We start from the raw sequence: 20,651 nt of genomic DNA, 5'->3' as shown, positions 1-20,651 counted from the left end.
CCTACGCAGAACTGGCCACAGTGCTGGCCCTGGGGGATGGGCAGGCTCTGAGGTGAGGAAAAGACAGAGAGGAAGGCAGAGCCTGAGATGAGAAGACAGACACTCACAAACTCAAATACCAGTGGCAGGAGCAGTAACACATATGGCCTCATAGAAATTACACACACAGACCCAAAGATGCAGACACACACACTGCCCACACACCCAGAGACACACACCCTGCACGGGTTGTCACCCACTGACATCCAAAGACATGCTCAGCGTGGGCCCCTTAACCACTGTGGGGCCAAGGCACCCACTAGCGCTGGGGAAAGGTCCCTCTTCTGAGCCTCTAGGTGGCTGGGGTTTGTCAGCAAGGTGGGCTGGTGGGACTCAGCCTGTGATACTCAAATAGGTGAGCTAGGACAAAGGACAGATGCAGTAAGGGATGGCTGGGTCTGCCTCTGCAGGCTCTGGTCTTTGGCAGAATGATGCCAAGTTATACTCCCCATGGTAACCTGCCTGGCCTAGGGCCTGGGTGCCACCGGTCAACATTTGGAGTATGACCTACTGTCCAGATGGGCTTGGACTCGTAGTTGTTCTTGACTTTTCAAATTTTAAAGCTTCTCATCTACAGTCTCCAGCCCCCATAGCTACTGAAGGAAAACTGCTGGCCTGGAAAGGAGATGAGCTCTGGAAGGGAATGGCCAGGTTAGGGAGGCAACTGGGGCATGTTGGTGGGTGCCGTGGGATGGAGCCAGCAGGAAGCATGGAGATGACAGGGGTGAGGAATAGAAGCCAAGGCAGGTGAGGGATAGACAAAAGAGAGGATAAAAGATGGATTAGTGGGAAGCTCCTGTGGTCCAATACAGATTCTTCTTGGGACAGATGGAAGGGGATTTGGAGAGGGTTGGTCCTAGTAAGCAGGCAGAAAAGCCAAGGCACGTGACAATCTATTTCCCAATAACTTGTGGCTTCCCCTTCTCGGAGTGGGCACCTTCTGAACTTCACATCCTGGCTCAAGCCCGTGGAGGGACCCATAATCAGAAGGGGGCTAGAAAGTATGAGGCCTGTGTCTTTGGTGGAGCTGATCTGGGGGCTTCTTAGGTCAGGATTTTACCCATTTGAGTGGAGGGGGTGGAGGTAGCAGGAAATTCAGTTTTCTCTGCAAATATTTCAGCTTTTGCTGTTGTAGTATTTTTAGCAACCTGGTTGGCAGAGGAGGAGCCCGGGTACATTTTTAAAGGGGCCTCTGCCAGGCTGGAGGCCTCTTCCCACCCTCACCCCACATGTCAGGAAGGAGAGGGGGAGAAAGCACATGGCTTAAGGGGTCCATTCAAAGGTAGAAATCAGGTTTGCTGGACATTAGGTGACCGTTGAGTCATTTTCACCAGTAGTCATTTTGTTCTGTCATTGTCAGCATCATGATTGTTACCAGCATTATCAAGAGGAGTAAATATTTCTTGAACTTCTGCTATGTTCAGGGTGCTGCTAGAGAGGCAATACGGAAGGCTCGGTATAATATATTTGCTAAGATGGGGAAATAACCAATATTCTAGAGTGAGTTCTAGGCTAAATCTGAATAGCACTTTACAAAGTGCTACCACATCCATTATTTAAAGTGGTGCTCTCGAGAACAGTGTGAGGAGGTATTACTCTTTCTTTCTTTCTTTCTTTCTTTTTCTTTCTTTCTTTTTGAGACAGAGTCACACTCTGTCACCCAGGTTGGAGTGCAGTGGCACAATCTTAAGCAACCTCCACCTCCCAGGTTCAAGCGATTCTCCTGCCTCAGCCTCCTGAGTAGCTGGGATTACAGATGCTCACCACCATGTCAGGCTAATTTTTTTGTATTTTTAGTAGAGACAGGGTTTTGTCATGTTTGCCAGGTTGGTCTCGAACTCCTGGCCTCAAGTGATCTGCCTGCCTCAGCCTCCCAAAGTGCTGAGATTACAGGCATAAGCCACCGTGCCCAGCCTAGGAGGTATTGTTATTTCTAACCTCTTTTTCTGAGGAGGAAACTGAGGCTGGGAGAGGTTAAGTGACTTGCTATTTGTCCAGCATTAGATCTCTGAGGAAATGCAGAACTAGGACTAAAACCCAGGAGTTCTGACTTTGAATTCTGCATTTCTCCTGTACAGTGCTCCTAGCGTAAGCTAAGCAAATCAGACATAATCTCTTTTCTCTTGGATGTTGTAATCCGATGGAAAAAGTACATATATGTGCGTGTATAAAATAATGAATGATAGATACGAAAGGAATTAAGCAGACAGTAAATGTTCTGGGAGTTGAGGTGTGGAAGAAATGACTGAGAATTTGGATGGTCAAGGAAGCCTCCCTGGATGATGGTTTGAAGCAAGCATGAATCCAAAAGTATCTGAGACATGTATCAATCAATTTGGAGAGTTCATTTTGCCAAGGTTAAGGATGCACCTGTTGACACATCTTCAAGAGGTCCAGATGACATGTGCCCAAGGTAGTTGGGTATAAGCTTGCTTTACAAGTTTGTGCAAGGGGTACAGTTTGCTTTTATGCTTTTTAGGGAGACATAATACATCAATCAATACTTGCAAGATGTACCTTGGTTTGATCTGGAAAGGTGGGATAACTTGAAGCTGTGGTGGAGGGTGGTGGCTTCCAGGTTATAGGTAGATTTAAAATTTTTCTGATTGGCAATCAGTTAAAGGAGTTATTATCTAAAGACCTGGAATCAATAGAAAGGAAATGTCTGGCTTACCATGATAAGCAGAGTTTTATCATGCAGACAAAGCCTCCAAGTAGCAGGCTGCAGAGAGAATACATGGTAAATGTTTCTTATCAGACTTAATGTCTGTGTTGATGTTAATGCTGGTCGGCTTTTCCTGAATTCCAAAAGGGAGGAGGGTATAATGAAGCATGTCAGACCCCCTGCCTTCCCATCATGGCCTGAACTAGTTTTCCAGGTTAACTATGGAATGCCCTTGGTTGAGAGGAGGGGTTTGTTCAGATGGCTCAAGGGAGCCTTAGAATTTAATTTTTGGCTTACGCAAAAATACGACTTAGATAAGTGAAGAGGGCCAGGAGTGGGCAGAAGAGCATTTGAGGCAGGAGCAATTGTGAGCTATGCACCACACTTAGTGTCCCTGTGAGTGCATGCCATCCCAGCCCAGAAGGGCCCTGAGGTCAGCAATCCCAGTATCCTTCCTCTTACCCAGGGTTTTATGTCCAAAGCTCAGTGCTCTGAATTCATCTACAGTACCATAGCCCTGCTGCTCCTCAGAGCTCTAATGCACACCTGCCCCTTGCTCCTATAGATGTGCCAGGTGTCTGGATCCTCTGCCTTCATCCCATTTTTTCTAGGTCTCAGATGTAGTTCAAAATCCTGGATGCGGTAGCTCCTTATTCCTATTTTGCTCCAAACACCTACTTGTTCTTACCTTTCCACCTCCCTTTCCTCAGCTTGCTTCCCCACCTCTCCTAATGTGTGAAAGCTCTGATGGCTAAGCAATGTGTGTCCCTGCTGGGCCTGCACATCCTGCCTGCAAACATTAGACCAACACAATTTTTTTTTAATAACAAGGCACCAACCATTTGAATAACAAGCTCTAGAACAAACCTAATAATAAGCATTTCAGTGTTGGTTCAGACAACGACCTGTTTTAATTGATTTCTGCAAAAAGACTTACATGAGATGTAGTTTTTACCTTATTTCTTAGTCTATTTAAAGACGTTTGCTCCTTTTGTGGTTCTGCTGGATAGTCAGATCCAAGAAATTCCTGGTTTAACCAGCAATGCATGCCTGCTGAACCAAATGAGGTTTAAGCCATTCTCCCCAACATTGTCTACCTCTGGGCAGAAGGAAGGGGGAACTCTTATCCAGGAGAGCGATATTCTCTTAAAATCATCCAGAATGAGTGGCTCTTGCCTGCGTGTATGTGGTCAGCATCCCAGGCTCACACTTTTCCATGCTGATGCTCTCTTGGTCTGAGAGCTTGTACTGATTGTTCTAATCTGGATCCACTGGCTATGGCTATGTCATTAATTTGGCATCTAGTATTTATTGCCTCATATTAACACTTAAAAAACTTTTTTATTTTAGAAAAACTTAAACATATGCAAAACTAAATAAAGTAATGAACTCCACTGTACCCATCATCCACATTCAATAATTCTCAACTTATCATCAAACTTATTTAATTCATATGCCTTCTGATTCCCCCATTATCATTTCATTCATAAATATCTAAGTATGTCTCTCTGAAAAATAAGGACCCTTTAATGCTTACTTTTAAAGCATATGTTCATTAGCCTATACGTTCTGTGGGGAAACAGATTAGATTCTGAGGATCCAATGTACAATATGGCAGCTACAGTTAATAACACTATATTGTTTACTCGAAATTTGCTAGGAGAGTAGATCTTAAGTGTGATCAGCACACACACGTACACCAAAAATGGCACCTATGTGTAGTGATGGATGTATTAACTAATGTCATGTGCTAATCATTTCACAAAGTATACATATATTAAATCATCCCACTGTACATTTTGAATATATACAATTTTTATTTGTCAATTATACCTCAATAAAACCTGAAAAATATAAAATGAAGGCTGGGCATGGTGACTCATGCCTGTAATCCCAGCACTTTGGGAAGCTGAGGCAGGCAGATCAATTGAGCCCAGGAGTTTGAGACTAACCTGGGCAACATGGTGAAACCCCATCTCTACAAAAAATACAAAAATTAGCCAGACATGGTGGTGCATGCCTGTAGTCCCAGCTAGTTGGGTGGCTGAGGTGGGGGATCACCTGAGCCTGGGAAGTCAAGCCTGCAGTGAGCTGTGATTGTGCCACTGCACTCCAGCCTGATAGAGCAAGACTCTGTCGAAGAAAGAAAAATACAAAAATGTAAAGAAAAAAATAAAGAAAGAGATGAGAGATGTTTTCTTTACCGCTGTAGCCTTAGCACAATATCCAGAACATAGTGGATATTCAATAAATAGTTTTTGAATAATTGAATGAATAAGGCGGAGAATGAAAGAATGTATGTCAGAGGAAGCAAGCAGTAAAGAAAAGTATATTGCTGTGGTCAGGCATGACCTTCTTTGCAGCAGGTCATGATTCTGTTAGAGGTCCAGGTATGTCTTCAGCAACAACTAAGAAGTTAGGCCTTAAATAGGGAGGCAACTCTTCATCTCTCTGAGATTTGGTGCTGGGGCTTCCATTTTGAGGAGTGGAGACAGAGAGAAAGTTGATGCTGAGGTGGCCTCTTTTGGGGAGCAGTTGGGAGATAGAACAAGACTGGGCCTGAAAGCCAGGAAGGAGCCACGTCTGTTCCAATGTATCTGGTTTAATGTCACTCTCTGTCTAGTTCCATTTTATTATTTCCTTCCTTTAACTTGGTTAAGCAATTCTACTTTGTCTTAGCTGTGTGAGGGGACATTCAAAGAAGAGTTATATACTTGGCCTTGGGCCAGAGAGGCCAGGGTGGGGCAGTCAGCTTGGTGGCAGCAGTCCTTACGGAGGCATCACAAGAGGAAGCGACTTTAAGCCTTCATGGCCTTAGTGTCCTGTCGCAATGCAGGGATTTGTTTCCAGTGCTAATCTTGGAGGGTTTTATTTTTATTTAAAAAGAGGAGACATTTCTTTCATTGGGTGGTCTGACATAGCAGATCCCAATTGCTTAAATAAGCTCACAGGCTAATGACTTCTACCTATCAGGTCAAAGCGGCAGCCTGTGGGGTAGACGAAGACCACCTTTTCACTGCTGTTTATGAGGAATTAAGGGCCTAACACCTATCATCTCTAAACCAATCCAAGTCAGCCATCTGGCTGAAGATGGTGTTACCAATAATCATCTTCTACTGAGTTTTCATATGAGCTTCTCATATAAGTGTTGGCATGTTCTGAAGTTTTAGACTTCAGAAGAAAGAAGACATTGACAGGATTGTTCCAGTGGACTGTCGTCCGCTATGGCCAAGATACAGATGAGCAGATATTACAAGTCAGCCATTGCAAGGCCTGGGTGGCAGGCCATGTGCAAGCCAAGGCTTCTTCAAGGGTATACCCAAAGTGAAAGATACTTCACATAGCCCTGGACTTGGATCATGACACAGGAATTGGTTATATGAACAAATGTCTTTCTTTATGTAAAAATGAGAGTTCTCTTACCCAGATAAGCCCTGGCTCTAATCTTGGAAAATGATGATTATTTTGACTTTTCTTTTTCTTTTTGGTCAGACTGAAGCATTGAAAGGTAAAGGATTATTAACTACAAGTTTTTGCTATTCTGTAGTTTGGGTGGGACATTTAAGTTAAATGAGATAAGTAGCGATAGTTATTTGGGTTGCTGTATTTGTGTTATTTTTGCTTTGCCTTCATGGGATTGTGTGTTGGAGTGGGGTGACTGAGGGGAGAGCTGGGACGTGAGCTGTTTTTGGATTGGGTTGTTAGTGGAAATGTTTTCTCTGCTTAGAGAAAAGGCATGTTTAGAGAGAAGGAAATGAAAGTAAAAACCACACTTCATTTTGACTTAGGATAACTTTTCCATGGATGTTCAGTGTTCATATATACCTAGTAGAGAGAGTCAAAGGTTTGTACTGGATACAATCCTATCTAGTAGATGTTCTTCAAAAGAGGAAGAATATAAAGCTTGATCCTTAAAGGAGAGACAATATTGCTGTTTTTTTGTTTGTTTGTTTTTAATCTGGAGTCTCACTCTGTCACTCAGTTTGGAGTGCAGTGGTGAGATCTCAGCTCAGTGCAACCTCTGCCTCCCAGCTTCAAAGCGATTCTCCTGCCTCAGCCTCCTGAGTAGCTGTCACCTGCCACCACTCCTGGCTCATTTTTGTATTTTTAGTAGAGATGGGGTTTCACCATGTTGGCCAGGCTGGTCTTGAACTCCTGACCTCAAGTGATCCACTTGCCTCGGCCTCTTAAAGTGCTGGGATTACAGGTGTGAGCCACTGTGTCCAGCCTGAAGAAGAGAAAACACTTTCTGTTCCACTGGAACAGGATGGTGGAGCTATGCTACTTTACTATTTGCTGAACACATGTCAGATCATGACAGCAAGAAGGTCCTGCACTTGGGATAATAAGTGGGGCTGTGTAGACTGTAACGAAACCATCATGGCAGACACCGTTGCTTACCTAGTCAATATCCATGCAGTCCCTCTTCTTGCTTGATAATGCAACTGCAGTTTTGTTGGGGTGGTTGTGGATCCAGACATGACAACGGGTCATAGTCTAAGCCTGTTTAGGGCTAGTCATGAGACACAGATATAGCCAATGAGATACAAGCCAATTTCTGCTGAGGAATCTGAAAAAGCTCCTACTTCCCAGATAGGAGAGGGCAGATAGTACTACCAGCCCCTGTTTCTTATTCCCTCAAAGCAGAGCTGAAGTCTGGAGCTGTATCAGCTGTCTTATGACCATGAAGCAAAATGTCAACATGATAAAATCATGAGGGAAAAAAACCCTCATAATCCCATAGACTTAAGCCACTATCATTCAGTCTTTCTATAATAATATGTATAATATGTATATAATATGTATAATATGTATATGTATATTCAGTCTTTCTATAATATAATATAGTAATTCTATATGAATAAGGCTGGGCTCAGTGGCTCATGCCTGTAATCCCAGCACTTGGGAGGCTGAGGCAGGCAAATCACTTGAGGTCAGGAGTTCAAGACCAGCTTGGCCAACATGGTGAAACCCTGTCTCTACCAAAAATAGAAAAATTAGCCAAGTATGGTGGCAGGTGCTTGTAATCCCAGCTACTCAGGAGGCTGACACAGGAGAATCACTTGAACACAGGAGGCAAAGGTTGCAGTGAGTTGAGATTGTGCCACTGCACTCCAGCCTGGGAGACAGAGCCTGGGGGACAGAGAGCAGTTTTTTTGTCTCAAAAAAACAAAAAACAGATTTAAGTGAACGAATCCCTAATATGCCACAATAATATAAGAGATGTTCGAATGCATCAGATCAATGCACCTATCTTTTTGACAAGATGGGGACAGCATGTGGAAGTTGTTTCCAGGGATTCTTTGATAACAGACCCTGAAATGTCTAAGTTGGGATGCCTTGTAATTCAGACATAAATTTATGCAATCTTATGCAACCTTGATTTCCTAATGGGTTGTTCTAGCTTGGCTTTGCTTAGCCGAAAGAACCATTGCAGGATTCCAAGTGACTGTTTGTTGTTCCCGTAGTCACACTCAAGCCTTTGTCCCCAGTCTCTCTCATTATTTCTATCATGTCAACCTCTCCCAGTTGTCCCATGTCTGGAGTATGGGCTTGCTATAATTTGAATTACTAGTAACTAAGGAAAATTCCTTTAAGACAAAGATACCCAGAGATAGATGAGGACTGGATGGGTTTAGGCATTTTATCTCTTAGCCAAAAGGCCGATGTATATTGGTTTTAAAAAAGTGATAGGCGGTAGGCCCTTACTCCCTTATGAATGGCAGTGGCTGGCTGGTCCTCATTCCATCCAACTGGCCACTGGTTTGGCCTGGTAGGCAGCAGTCATTAATCCATGAACTTAGTCAAGGGAATTAGGATCAACCATGTCAGACAACCCAGTGAGGAATCTTCTCTTTTCTTTCAATGAAAACAAAACCCTCCAAGGTTAGCACTGAGAGAAGATTGATTAAAGGCAGAGTGAATGTTCATCTAGAGTCCCTCATTTGTGAAGCCTTTGGAGCTCCTTTGGGGAGTGGCGCCCGTTCTCTGCTGTTCCTGCAGACAGCACTCGGTAGTCCATAACAGATGCCAATCTAGTTATTCGGATATTCTGAAAGATTAGTTAGATACCCTTAGGACAAGGACTCCCTAAAAGTTCTTGTCTCCCTTAAAATGAGTATTATTTACTTTTAATTATTAGATGGAAATGGCTTATACTGAAAAGCAGAAACCTCTGGGACACTGGTAGGGCACTTCTTTTTATTATACATTTTTATTATTGTAAACCAATGTATATATACATATATACAAGGGCTTAAAAATTTATTTTAGGCTGGGCACTGTGGCTCACACCTGTAATCCCAGCACTTTGGGAGGGCAAGGCAGAAGAACTGCTTCAGCCCAGGAGTTCCAGATCGGCCTGGGCAACACAGTGAGACCCTGTATTTACAAAAAACGAAAATTAGCTGGGCATGGTGGCACACACCTGTGATCCCAGCTACTCAGAAGGCTGCGGCAGGAGGATGGCTTGAGCCCAAAAGTTCAAGGCTGCAGTGAGCTAGGGTCGCACCATTGCACTCTAGCCTGGGCAACAGAGTGAGACCCTGCCTCTAAAAATAGAAAAATAAAAAGAATTTATCTTAAATTAAAGCAAAGATTCTATAAATCTAGAAGGTCTTAAACCATTTTCCAGGGAGCACTTTCTGTGCCAAATCTTTATTATGAGCATTTATTATGTGCCATCTGCTTTGTACTAAGTGCATTACATACTGTATTGATCAAGACTCTTTGGGTGGAAAAGGATAGAAACTCAACTTACATTAACATAAGCACTGATTCACTGAAAGGGCAGAGGTGGAGTTCCAGGAATGTAAAATCCTATTAAGACTCTCTTCCTCCCTTTATGTCACTTGTTTCTGCTTCCTTCTGCATAATGCTGACATCTCCATCATGCTGGAACCGTGGCTGCAGGCAGCTCTGAACTTAAGCCATTATAGCCTTGGGACTAAGGAAGAAATAGAATTCTTCAATTGCAACCTCATTAATAATAATTGTAAAATTCCCAGAGGAGATCGCTGATAAACCAGATTTGAGCCTTATGCCTATCCTAGCACTAACCCTTGTGGCTAGGTGAGGGAAGTATTATAATTGACCCAGCCTGTGGCACAACCGTGTGGCCAGTTGGATTCATTGACTGGCAGGGCCTGCAGAACCATTTGGTAAGAGTAGGGGAAAAGCAGTTCCACAAAAGAAAAGGGTGTTTTGGACTGGATGACTAAAGAATGCACGTACATCTCAATACATTATGTTGTGTCATACTCACAATAATCCAAGCAAATACCATTGGTGAAGAAATACCATTCTCCAATGTTTTCTAGGTAAAAAAATATATATATGGGGAAAAGAAAGGTTAAGTAACTTGAACAAGGCCATACAGCTGGTAGGCAGTAAAGCTGGGCTTCTATTCAAGTCTGTTTGACTCCAAAGCTGTCCCCGCTATTTGGCCACCTCTCCTGCCTGGATGAATTTCTCCTCAATCTGTGCATTTTACTCAGAGTGACGAAGCCATTAAGACAGAAGACTAAATTTGCATATTAAGCAACATTCTCCCGCTCTGCTCCCCTCTGGGAAAGGTCATTTTTGCACTGAGGGCTCTCCCAGGGTTCTGCTTCCTTCTGGAATAACTATCTCAAACAAACCTGGGGATGTTATGAAGCCACTTAACTGGGCTGACGTGGCTGGACCAAGGGCTTAGAACAATGCCATCAGGTTTCTGTCTCCCTTTCCATTTTTCAGCAGTGCCTCCCTCAGGGTGTCTCTGTGTTAGATTCACCCTCAGATTGGCCTTTTATGGTGGTGGAGGAAGGAAGGTTATTAGAATCCCCAAACTCTCAAGAGAAAAAGACACCGTCTCTCTCTATGTACCCGTATATAAAATTTCGTGAAAGGGCTCTAAGCAACCTTTCTTGGGCGTTTGCTCATGTTACTGACAAACACTCCAGGACCACACAGACTGGGGCAGGGATGAGCCAGCCCTAGGAAGGGACCTTGGCAGTCGAAAACATGGCCACGTTGATGCCTAGCAAGGCAGAATCATTGCAGAGTAAAGAGCTGTGATCAGCTCCCCCACTTCCCTGTATGCCCTCTCGCCAAGTGTGTGCCTTATTGGCAGTCATCACACTGCCTTGCCGTTGTTTCTGTCTTACCTTCCTCACTAGGCTGTGACTGCCTATAGAACCAGGATTTGGCCTTTCATTTTTTTGAGGTGGGGGGCTGGGGGGGAGGGTGGTGTCTCGCTCTGTTGCCCAGGCTGGAGTGCAATGGCGTGATCTCGGCTCACTGCAACCTCTGCCTCCCAGTTCAAGCAATTTTCTTGCCTCAGCCTCCTGAGTAGCTGGGACTACAGGCACCTGCCACACACCTGGCTAATTTTTTGTATTTTTAGTAGAGACGGGAGTTTCACTATGTAGGCTAGGCTGGTCTTGAACTCCTGACCTCAGGTGATCCCCCCACCTCGGCCTCCCAAAGTGTTGGGATTATAGGCATGAGCCACCGCGCCCAGCCTGGCCTTTCATTTTGACATCCCAGCATCTAGCACAGTGTCTGACACATGGTAGGAGCTCAATAAATATTTAATGAATGAATGACTATAATATAATGCTATGGTTTATATGATTTACAATGCTATGGTTAAGAAAACAAGCATTTTCCAAAAATCTGGTATGCACCACAGTAGTAAAAAAACTACCACTGAGATGCCATTGCATAATTTACAAAGTAAATTATAGGCACTTGGTCAACACATTTTACATATGTATCTCATTTAAACCTAAACGCTGTGGAAAGTTATGTGCCACTTCTTATCAGCCTTGCACTTGGCTGGATGAGGGTGAGGGAAGATCGCAACGTAGAGGACGCAGTCTGTACAAAGTGTTTGGTCTTATGGAGAGGCAAGACAATCAAGATAATTAGAAAACCTCTTCCAGATGATACATAATAAGTTCTTCCATTCAAATCGATGATTAGGTGCTTCCTGGCCAAAGTCCAGTGTCTGTTTGGGGTTGCAAGGAGGAATTGGGGATATATTCAGAGCAAGGTTAAAGGAGTGACAACAAGATGAGCTAAAAAAAAAACATGATGTGTGGAAAGGTTCACGGAACGGGAATGACTCAGGTTGGAGAAGAGAAGACCGAGAGGAAACTGAATCATTTCCAAGACAAAGAAGGGCTCTCTTGCTGGGGGATGATGGCCAGCTGTCCTCCTTTGCCTCTGCTTGCAGAGCAAGGGGAAATGGGCTTAGACCGAAGGCAGGGCTAAGATTAGAGAGAAGGAAGAACTTGGCAGTGAAGGATGTTGTATAACCTAGTTTTTGAGACAACTTGGGGACTGAGGAGACTCCCACACGCCTGGTCTGAGCCCAGTGGACGTGCATGTGGGGTGATCTGGCTGACTGGCTGGGAAGGGAGGAGGAGGTCCTGAGGCTGCATTTTTCTGTGTCCTCGATTTCCCGTTGGAAGTTAAGTTCCCAAATTGTGGAGCTGGCAAGGCAGCACCTCCCCCACCCACCACGCACTGCACCAGTGTTCCTGGGCTGGGTAATAATGCCTGTCATTTCCTCTCCCGGGGGAGTGGGGCTGCAACCGCCCTGACAGCCCCGAGGGATTGAAGGCAACTAAAAATAGTGCATTAAATATAATCTGTTGAGGGGCACATTTGCATTGCTTTTCTTTCCCCCTCGCCTGTCTCTTCATCCTTCCTGGCAGGGCAGGCCTGGGTCTTGCTCTGGGCACTGGGAATCAGGTTCCGGGCACTGGCTGCTCTCATTTTGTTGCAGAAGGGCTCTCTAGACAAGAGGGCCGAGGTCAAGGATCCCCAAGGGTGTCCCATTCCACTCCTCTCCATTCCCCCTGGGCCTCTGGGTCCTTCAGGGCCTGAAGGTGCAGGGGGAGGAGCTGCAAGTAGGGGAGGCAGTGTTGAAAAGGAGAGCCAGCCAGGGCTTTGTTCTCCCATCAGCCACTTCCGTCTGCTACACAATCTCTCTGAGGTTAAATATTAATTAAGAGCAGAATGACAGTGAGAGCTGAGCAGTGTCACTTTCTGTCCCAACACAAATGCTAATTTCCTCCCCTGTAGAAAGTGACTTTGGAGTGGGATTGGCAGCGCAGGGGGAATAGCTGGGGAGAGGGGAGGAGAGGCAGCAGGGAGAGATGGGTGGCGGCGGCAGCAGCCCTGCGTCAGAACTATTAAGAATGATAAGGCAAGGAAGGTGTTTGTGCTGGGATTCCAGAGGGAAGACAGGACACATCCAGTCACAGAGGACACCATCACGGCACAATCCTAAGCTCTTCCCACTTTAACGACAGTCATCTAAGAAGTTGAGGTAGAGCTGGGTCTCCCCACTTCCCTAAGACTGAGTTCTTAATCTTGGGTCTGTGCGTTGGTTTCGGGGCTCATCAAACCTGGGAAGTTGTTTGCAAAACTGTTTCTGTGCACATCACCAGTTTTTTTGGAGACAGAGTTTCCAGCGGGGCTGGTATGTGATCCACAGTGTCATCCTCAGCATGTGGTGCCATCTTTGAGGTCAGCTTATGGTTTGAGATGGCTGCTGGAGCCTCAGCTGAACACCTAGATTCTAGGCAGGAAGCAGGAAAAAGTTGGTGGGCAGGAAAGACCAAAAAGTTCCACTCCAGTTTTCTGTCCCTCTTTTAATGAGCTTTCTTAGAAATCCATTTCTATCTTACTGTCCACACCTACCTGCAAGAGAGGCTGGGAAAATATGATAGTTTCGCTGACATGGGGCATCTCCATGTCATACTGGTGTTTGTGTTTGTAGGAAAGAAAAGGAGAGAATGGTAGACAACTAGGACTTTCTGCTGCAGTGTCTGTCTCACAAAAGGTCAACAACCTTGGATTTGGGGGAGGAGATGCTACCATCTCTCAAGGGTCTCTGTGCTCCCTGCTCAGACAGAGCTGACTGGAGGAAAAAGCCTACCATGGAAATGCCTACTTTGGTATGGATTCCTAAGCTCACAATGGGTCCTCAGAAGCTGGTCCTCCTGAGTGAGGGTGGCAGGGTTATTCTCTGACCAGGGCTTGGTTATTAGAAAGGAGGCTAAAAAGGAGACGCTTGTTCCATTAAGGACCATGGCCTTGTGGGGGGCTTTGCAGCGTATGCGTGGGAACAGCTTTGTTTGGTCTCTGATAATCATCTTCTTCTTGGCAATACTTTGCTCCGCACAGCCTGGAACAGGTGGCTGAGGAGAGGGAAGATGTTTTCACCTCTTAGGGAAAGATGAAGTGAGGAAGGCTCTGGGGTGTGGGTATGGGATGGGTGAGCTGGGCCAGTCTGAGATTCCACTTGTTTGGGACCTGGGTGGTATATTTACTTCAATCCCTTTCTCTTAGATCTTTGAGCCTTTGCACAAGCTGTTCCATCTGATTGGAGTGGTTACCCATTGGTGGACTCTTAATCCCTCTCTAAGAGTCGGGTCCATGAAGCTATTCCTGATTTTTCTTGACCATTCTCTCTATCCCCAACCCCTGCCCCAGGAACCTTCTTGTGATTCTGTAATCCTCTGTACGTGTTCTGTGATCTTTACAACCACACCTGTCACATTGTTTAAAACAATCGACTTGCCTTCCTCCACAGCGCTAAAAGCTCCCTCATGGTAGAAAATGTTTTCGGCCATCTATGGCATACGACTCTCAAAGTGTTCCATGGGGATGAACAAACTTTACAAAGTGTTAATCAACACCTGCTGTGAGCAAAATGCACTGGAGATAAGAAGGGGATTAACATTAAAAATCACAAAGACAGTCAGGCATGGTGGCTCATGCCTATAATCCCAGCACTTTGGGAGACTGAGGTGGGAGGATCACTTGAGTCTAGGAGTTCGAGAGCAGCCTGGGAAACATAACAAGACTCCATCTCTACACAAAAAATTAAAAATGAGATGAGCATCATGGCACATGCCTATAGTCTCAGCTACTCGGGAGGCTGCGGCAGGAGGATCGCTTGAGCCCAGAAGGTCGAGACTGCAGTAAGCTACGATCACACCACTCCACTCCAGCCTGAGCAAGAGTGTGAGACTTTGTTTCAAAAAAAAATGATGAAGACACTGGCTTCTAGGAGTTCACAGTCTAGTGGGGGAGACAGAAGTGTAGATTACGGATCTGATAAAACGGTAACCGTGATAAGGTGCAGGGATCTTCAGAACAGGGGAGGGAGAGATTAATAGAACTGAGGGGCTCTGGGAAGGCGACACTGATTTGTGCTAAGGCTTTGAAGGAAAAGTCACATCTCTATCTTTAGGGCAGAGAAAGGGCAAAGACAAAGGAAAAAGCAGGAGTCATCTCTGGAGATCAGGTGTTTTGGGGTTGGAGAATCCACATGGGAATCTGGGAGTATTTCTATTTGTTGGGTTTTTTTTTAAACATGGGGAAGCTGGTCCTGTGTGTGTGTTAGGTTGATTTGAAGACTTGACCTTTGTCTGCTTTTTGTGTAAGAAGACTGGGCCATTTGTTCCTGTATGGACTGAAGGTGTTTGTGAAAGTGTCAGGACTGGGAGATGGTGCCGTTCAGGGAAGAGGAGGCAAGAGGCCTGGGTGGGGACAGGGTCTGCGATGGTTGTCACCTTGGTCTGAGTGTTTTGGGGGCCTGTGGGAAGGAGGACCCATGCTAGGTTCTCCCCTCACCCTTTCCTTTTTTGTCTTTCTTAAAATACCCTGTGTTCCTGCAGCAGTGCGGCTGCTAATCTAAAATAAAAACAGCAGGAAATGCAAATGGTCAGGTTCTCCTAGCAACAGGAGCCAACCCACGCAGGGCGTGTGGAGCAGAGCAAAACTGTCCTGAGGCTGGGATGCGGGTGGCTGGGGTAAGGAAAACGTCTTCTCGTACAGCTTGGCCCCTCCAACTTCCAAGAGGGACTGGCTGGTGGACAGCCACCTGCTGTGCAGAAGAAACTCTCACTGGGCTGGACTGGGGCAGAGGACTGTGTACCAGGGAGAAGGTGCAAGGGTGGGGGAGAGAGCAGAGCCCTAGTTGAAGACACCTGACTGCAGTGGCTGGAATACTGCCTCTCAGAGAACCGACACTAGGAGTCTAACTAGGTGCATGGTTGGGAAGGGCCTGGATTTGTGTACACATTTCCATGTGTCCATTTCGATAAACCTGTGGATCCTTGTCATTTTTAAGATGATGAAATGAAAGGATGTGCAAGGTGACTCAGATTCCTAGGTAAGGGGTTCAAAATCAGGAAACTGCAAGATTCCCAGAGACATCTTGTTCCATCCCCTTTTGTTACAAAGGAAAAAACTGTGGTCCAGAGAGGTAAGTGACGTTCTCAGAACACAGACATCATTAGTGGAAGGGGTGGAAATGGAAAACAGGCATACAGGCTGAGACATTTTATTTTAAGTAGAAGCTGACGATGTCTCTACTCTGTTCACAGCTAGACAGTTAGAAGCCATGATAACCTCACTGGGCCCCAGGGGGGTTGCAGGGAGAAATCGTCTTAGGCACATCAAAGAAGGCTGAAGACATTTGAGAGATAAATGAGGGTCACCTCCCCAGTGGGGTGCCATAGAAAAGTGAGCACCTGGAGGTGAGAGGGGCATCGGCTGGGGGTAGAAACCAAAGGATGTTGCTCAGACTGCCAAGCAGCTCCAGCGGTCGCTATGCACAGCCATTCTTTGGGGATCTCATCATGGAAAAGGGTAAAAAAGAACATTGCTGTGTCAAGGCTGCACAGCAGGAAACTGGAGAAGGTGAGGTGACTTGCTCAAAAAGACAGACCCAAGTGTGGGTGAACTTGGAAGAGAACCTTGGAATTCTGGCTCCCTGGATCCCAGAGAAGTCCGTGTGCCCTAGACAGTGTGGTTTCCTATTACATAAGCAACTCTTTTATTACTCACACTCGCTTGCTCCTGCAAGACTCCTACAGCATCTCCCCCTAGAAAACACAGTGGAAGAAAAGGGTTCTTAGTTCCAGCTGAGTCTTGGTGACTTGAATGCCTGGTCACTCCTAAGGATTCCAGGTGAATAACAGCAACAAGCCACATCACGGAAACTGGTGCACTAAGAGCTTGATTTCAGAACTGTGGGCCTGCAAATGATCTGTACATACATCTGCGTACTTCACTTCCCCATGGCTGCATGGCGCCCCATGGCCAGAGCACTCTGAGTGCCCTCAGTGCCTTCCCATGCTGCCTCATCCTTTCCGGCCAAAGCCCCAAATAAGGCAGTTGATGAATAGAAGAAAGAACATGGGCTTTGATATCTGTAGCCTTGACTCAAATTCTAGCTTAGTAACTGTGTGACCTTAGGGAACTTGCTTAGCTTCTGAGTATTGGATTCTTTAGCTGTAAAACAAGAGCAATTATGCCTATCTCATAGATGTACGTAAAATGCTAGCACAGCCAGACATACAGTAGGCATTCAACAAATATTGGTTTCTACACTTCTTACTTGTGGTTGCAGTTGCTCAGGGACCAGGTGGGAGTTTCAATTGCTATTGCCAAGGCAGGGAATGCTATTTTCCAGGTATTCCAAGATGGAGCTCAGAATGCAATGCTTCCACAGACAAAGAATAGTTTGCCTTTATTATTGATTAAATAGGTTTTTATGGGTGGATCTGGGAATGCGACCTCTGTTTTTCACCATTATATTCCCAGCATCTGATAGAGTAGACAATCCATAAACATTTGTTGAGTGTTGCATATATGAGAAAAGGCATTCTAAATTATAGACAACCACCTTACAAAATAATATTTGAAACATAATGAGGTTCATAATACTTGAAACGTAAGTTCAATCTACTTATAGAACCTCTTTGAAGTCAGGCCTAGAAAGACAGATCTGGGGGCCCAGGGTGGTAGCTGCTATGCTAGTGACTCTACCAAGCCATGACCCATTGCAGCCCAGCCCCTGGACAACTCCCTGGGTCAGACAACAGACTGCACTAGTCCCTATACATGGGTTTTGAGGATGTGGGGTTGGGGGTGGGTTCTTCCCAGGAGACCTCTGGGTTGATGGAGCCACTAAAGTATATCATCATCACCCTTGGCCTTGGCCACTCCATCCTCTATTCCAACCTTCCAGCAGCACAGACTAGGGGCATATTCAACTGAGATCTCCTCCCTCCAAGGAGTTGTTTGTTCTTTCCTCTTAGTCATAAAATCCCCTTTTCCCTGTCTCTCTCCTTCCTCCTTCTCTCTCTCTCTCTCTCTCTCTCACACACACACACACACACATGCACGCACACACACATAGAGCTATGAATTTGAATATTGATTCTGCCATTTTAACTCCAAATTCTGTTTCTCAAATGTGGGTAGTGTTGGCTTACTCACTGTTCTCTTGTTGCTGGAGTTGTAAAAATCAATGTCCCATTGCTGAGATCGAAGCTCCCTGTGTCTCTGGGGGGCTCAGCAGGGACGATGGCCTCCAGAGTGGACCTCTGAGAAATTGCAGAGGCATCAGAGCTGTGGGCTCAGCATATGAGGTCCCCAGGGGGCCATAGACCCCCTCCTCCTGGGAAGAGTGCTCCTGCAGAGCTTATTTGCAATCTCCTGGAGTCCCAGACTCACCAAAGGATTCAGATCCTCTTCTTTTTGCCTCCTACATAGAGCACATTATAGACCTGAAACAGGAATCAGAATTCCAGACTCCCTTAGTGAGAGACAAAGTGTTAGGTCTTAGCTTTTTCCTTTCTAAATTAAGGGTCCTCCCTGGAATCAGGCTGCCTGATAGCATTATCCGTGAAACTGGTGGAGAGTAGGAAAATCGTATTTCTCTTTATGGGTGGGAAATCAGGTCATCCTCTGCAAAGGTATAGAATACTCCCCCAGGCTGTGGAGAGCATGTTCTGGTTTCTACCCAGAAAAACTATAGAGGAAAACTGTGGCTGCCTACTACTGAGTATCAGGGGAAAAAGCAGAGATATTTTTAACAGACGGAATATCAGTGAACAGAATGCTAAGGAACTAGAAAACTTATTCCAATAAATAGGAAGCATATGCTCTGCCTAAAGCAAACTCGGCTTTTGCTATATACAAATTTCATGAGGGAAAATAATGTAGGAAATTGCGGAAATATCTGACCATAGGTGGGCTACTACCGCTTGCTACAGGAGACCTGGAAGGCTGTGTGGATGGATCGGGGAAAGTGACCGGTGCGCCACGGTGCGTGGAGCCCTTGGCCATCTTGTCACGTGGGTCTGGGATCGTCCAGACTCTCAAGAGTCCTGGGGGCACAGGGTCCAGACGGACACTCCCCCCCACACAACCCCACTGTGTAATGGGGTGCACAGCACTGACAATCGGAACATCCCCGCAGGCTTCACCTCCCTGAGTCTCCAGGCATGGACGATGGCAGTCTCACTGGCAGAGATTCCTGGGCTTTGGGTTTTATGCCACAGGTTCTTCTTGCAACTAGGAAAAGCAATTTGTATGCATCTCATTAGCGAGATGCTAGTAATTGGGGATATTAATTTTATTGCTAAACCTGACAAATATTTTACTGTCTCCTGTAGTGGGTAATTGCATCCCCAACAGCCCATCCTTTTGTGCTGCCAGATGGAAAGGATGTGTGTTTGCCGTTTTCATTAATACAATTATTACCTTAGCATCTCGCCTGCCTGATCCCTGGCTGCAGGCTCCCTGAGACGGGGAGGAGAAGGGGAGACGAAGCGGGAGGCCTGCCCGGGGCGAGGCTCTGGGACGCGGTGCGGAGGGGCAGGCGGGAGTTACTGGGAACCGCAGCCGCCAGCCGGGAGCGCAGCGGGGGGAGGCGGCGCTGCCAGGCGCTAAACCACAACAATAATACCGCCGCTGACAAGTGTGTGGTTAGGGAGCAACAACTCATTAAGCTGCCTAAAACTCCCCCTGCTTCATCTGGGTCCCAGAGCAGCTCCCCACACAAAGGGCGTCGCTGCCACCCTCCCTCCCCGCAGTCGGACGGCGGACTCGCTGCTGCGGCCACTCCAGCCCCCGCCGTCCCCATCCTCTGTTCCCGTCGCCTCAAGCGCAGCCGCTCCCCTGGGAGGTGCTGGAAGGCCCCTCCGGTCAGGGGGATAGCAGCCTGTTCCCTTTCGCTCAGGAATAGGAGCAAAAGTCCTGCTCCGGCTGCAGGGGCCTGCACGTTGCTCTCTGAATCACTCACTCCCTTCTCTATTCCCGCTCCGAAGGCTGCTAACTTTGCCAAATATTTACTATGCTCTTCGCCCAGGCTCCTCAGCCATCACAGGACTGAGACTGGCAGACGCTCACTTTTGATTCGATTTCCCTCTCGAAGAGATGCAGGCAATGGCATAACCTTCCTGATGGTCTCACAGAGGAGAACTTGAGTAGAAGTGGGTTCTAATCCTGGTGGGAAACTCTGAGCTTAATATGAACTCTTTCATTTGGGAATACTTCCTGAGCCTGGGATTTTTGAAACAAGGCTACATGGAAATACGCCAGCTGATTAGCTGTTTTCCCTGACTGGACCCGACTCACCCTTCCTTTCCAGCATATGACCCCTCAGCTTTACTATTCCAAAGAAGCTTTCCTTGAACACAGCTGTGCAAGATAACCCTTCTAGAGAATGCACTACGTGCTGCGTTCACTTACCACTTGGTCAGTGTTATCCTGTGTGACTCAAAGTGAAAGGATAGCTTGCCTGGACCTGTTGCGAAGTCTTTTTTTGTTTTGGATCCCACTCAAAACAGACAGTCTTATTACCTTATTATGAGCTTCCCGATAAATGGGTAGAAGGAATACATTCGTAGGTGATATATTTTGATTCTAAAATCCAAACAGGCTTGCCAAGCACTATGCCTCTTTCTTTGGTAGGTAGATGCAACCTGTTGTTTTTTAATTTTTTATTTTTTATTTTTTTTTTGAGACAGAGTCTCGCTCTGTCACCCAGGCTGGAGTGCAGTGAGGTGATCTCAGCTCACTCAACCTCTGCCTCCCAGGTTCAAGCGATTCTCCTGCCTCAGCCTCCCGAGTGACTGGAATTACAGGC

The 20,651-nt window shown here is 46.1% G+C and overlaps 1 long non-coding RNA gene across 1 annotated transcript; it reads right to left on the bottom strand.

The window, feature by feature from the left end:
- Positions 1-17,943: 17,943 nt before the first annotated feature.
- Positions 17,944-19,342, bottom strand: LOC107984405 (uncharacterized). Its single transcript, XR_001748428.2, has 3 exons — positions 19,265-19,342; positions 18,233-18,285; positions 17,944-18,102 (listed from the first exon to the last, which is right to left on the bottom strand). It is a non-coding gene; the product is annotated as an uncharacterized LOC107984405 (long non-coding RNA).
- Between the last annotated feature and the right edge of the window lie 1,309 nt (positions 19,343-20,651).

Source organism: Homo sapiens, chromosome 11, assembly GCF_000001405.40.
Source record: "Homo sapiens chromosome 11, GRCh38.p14 Primary Assembly".
Lineage (NCBI taxonomy): Eukaryota > Metazoa > Chordata > Mammalia > Primates > Hominidae > Homo > Homo sapiens.
Note: the sequence above shows the minus strand (reverse complement) of the source record. Positions and strands in the feature narration are given on the sequence as shown.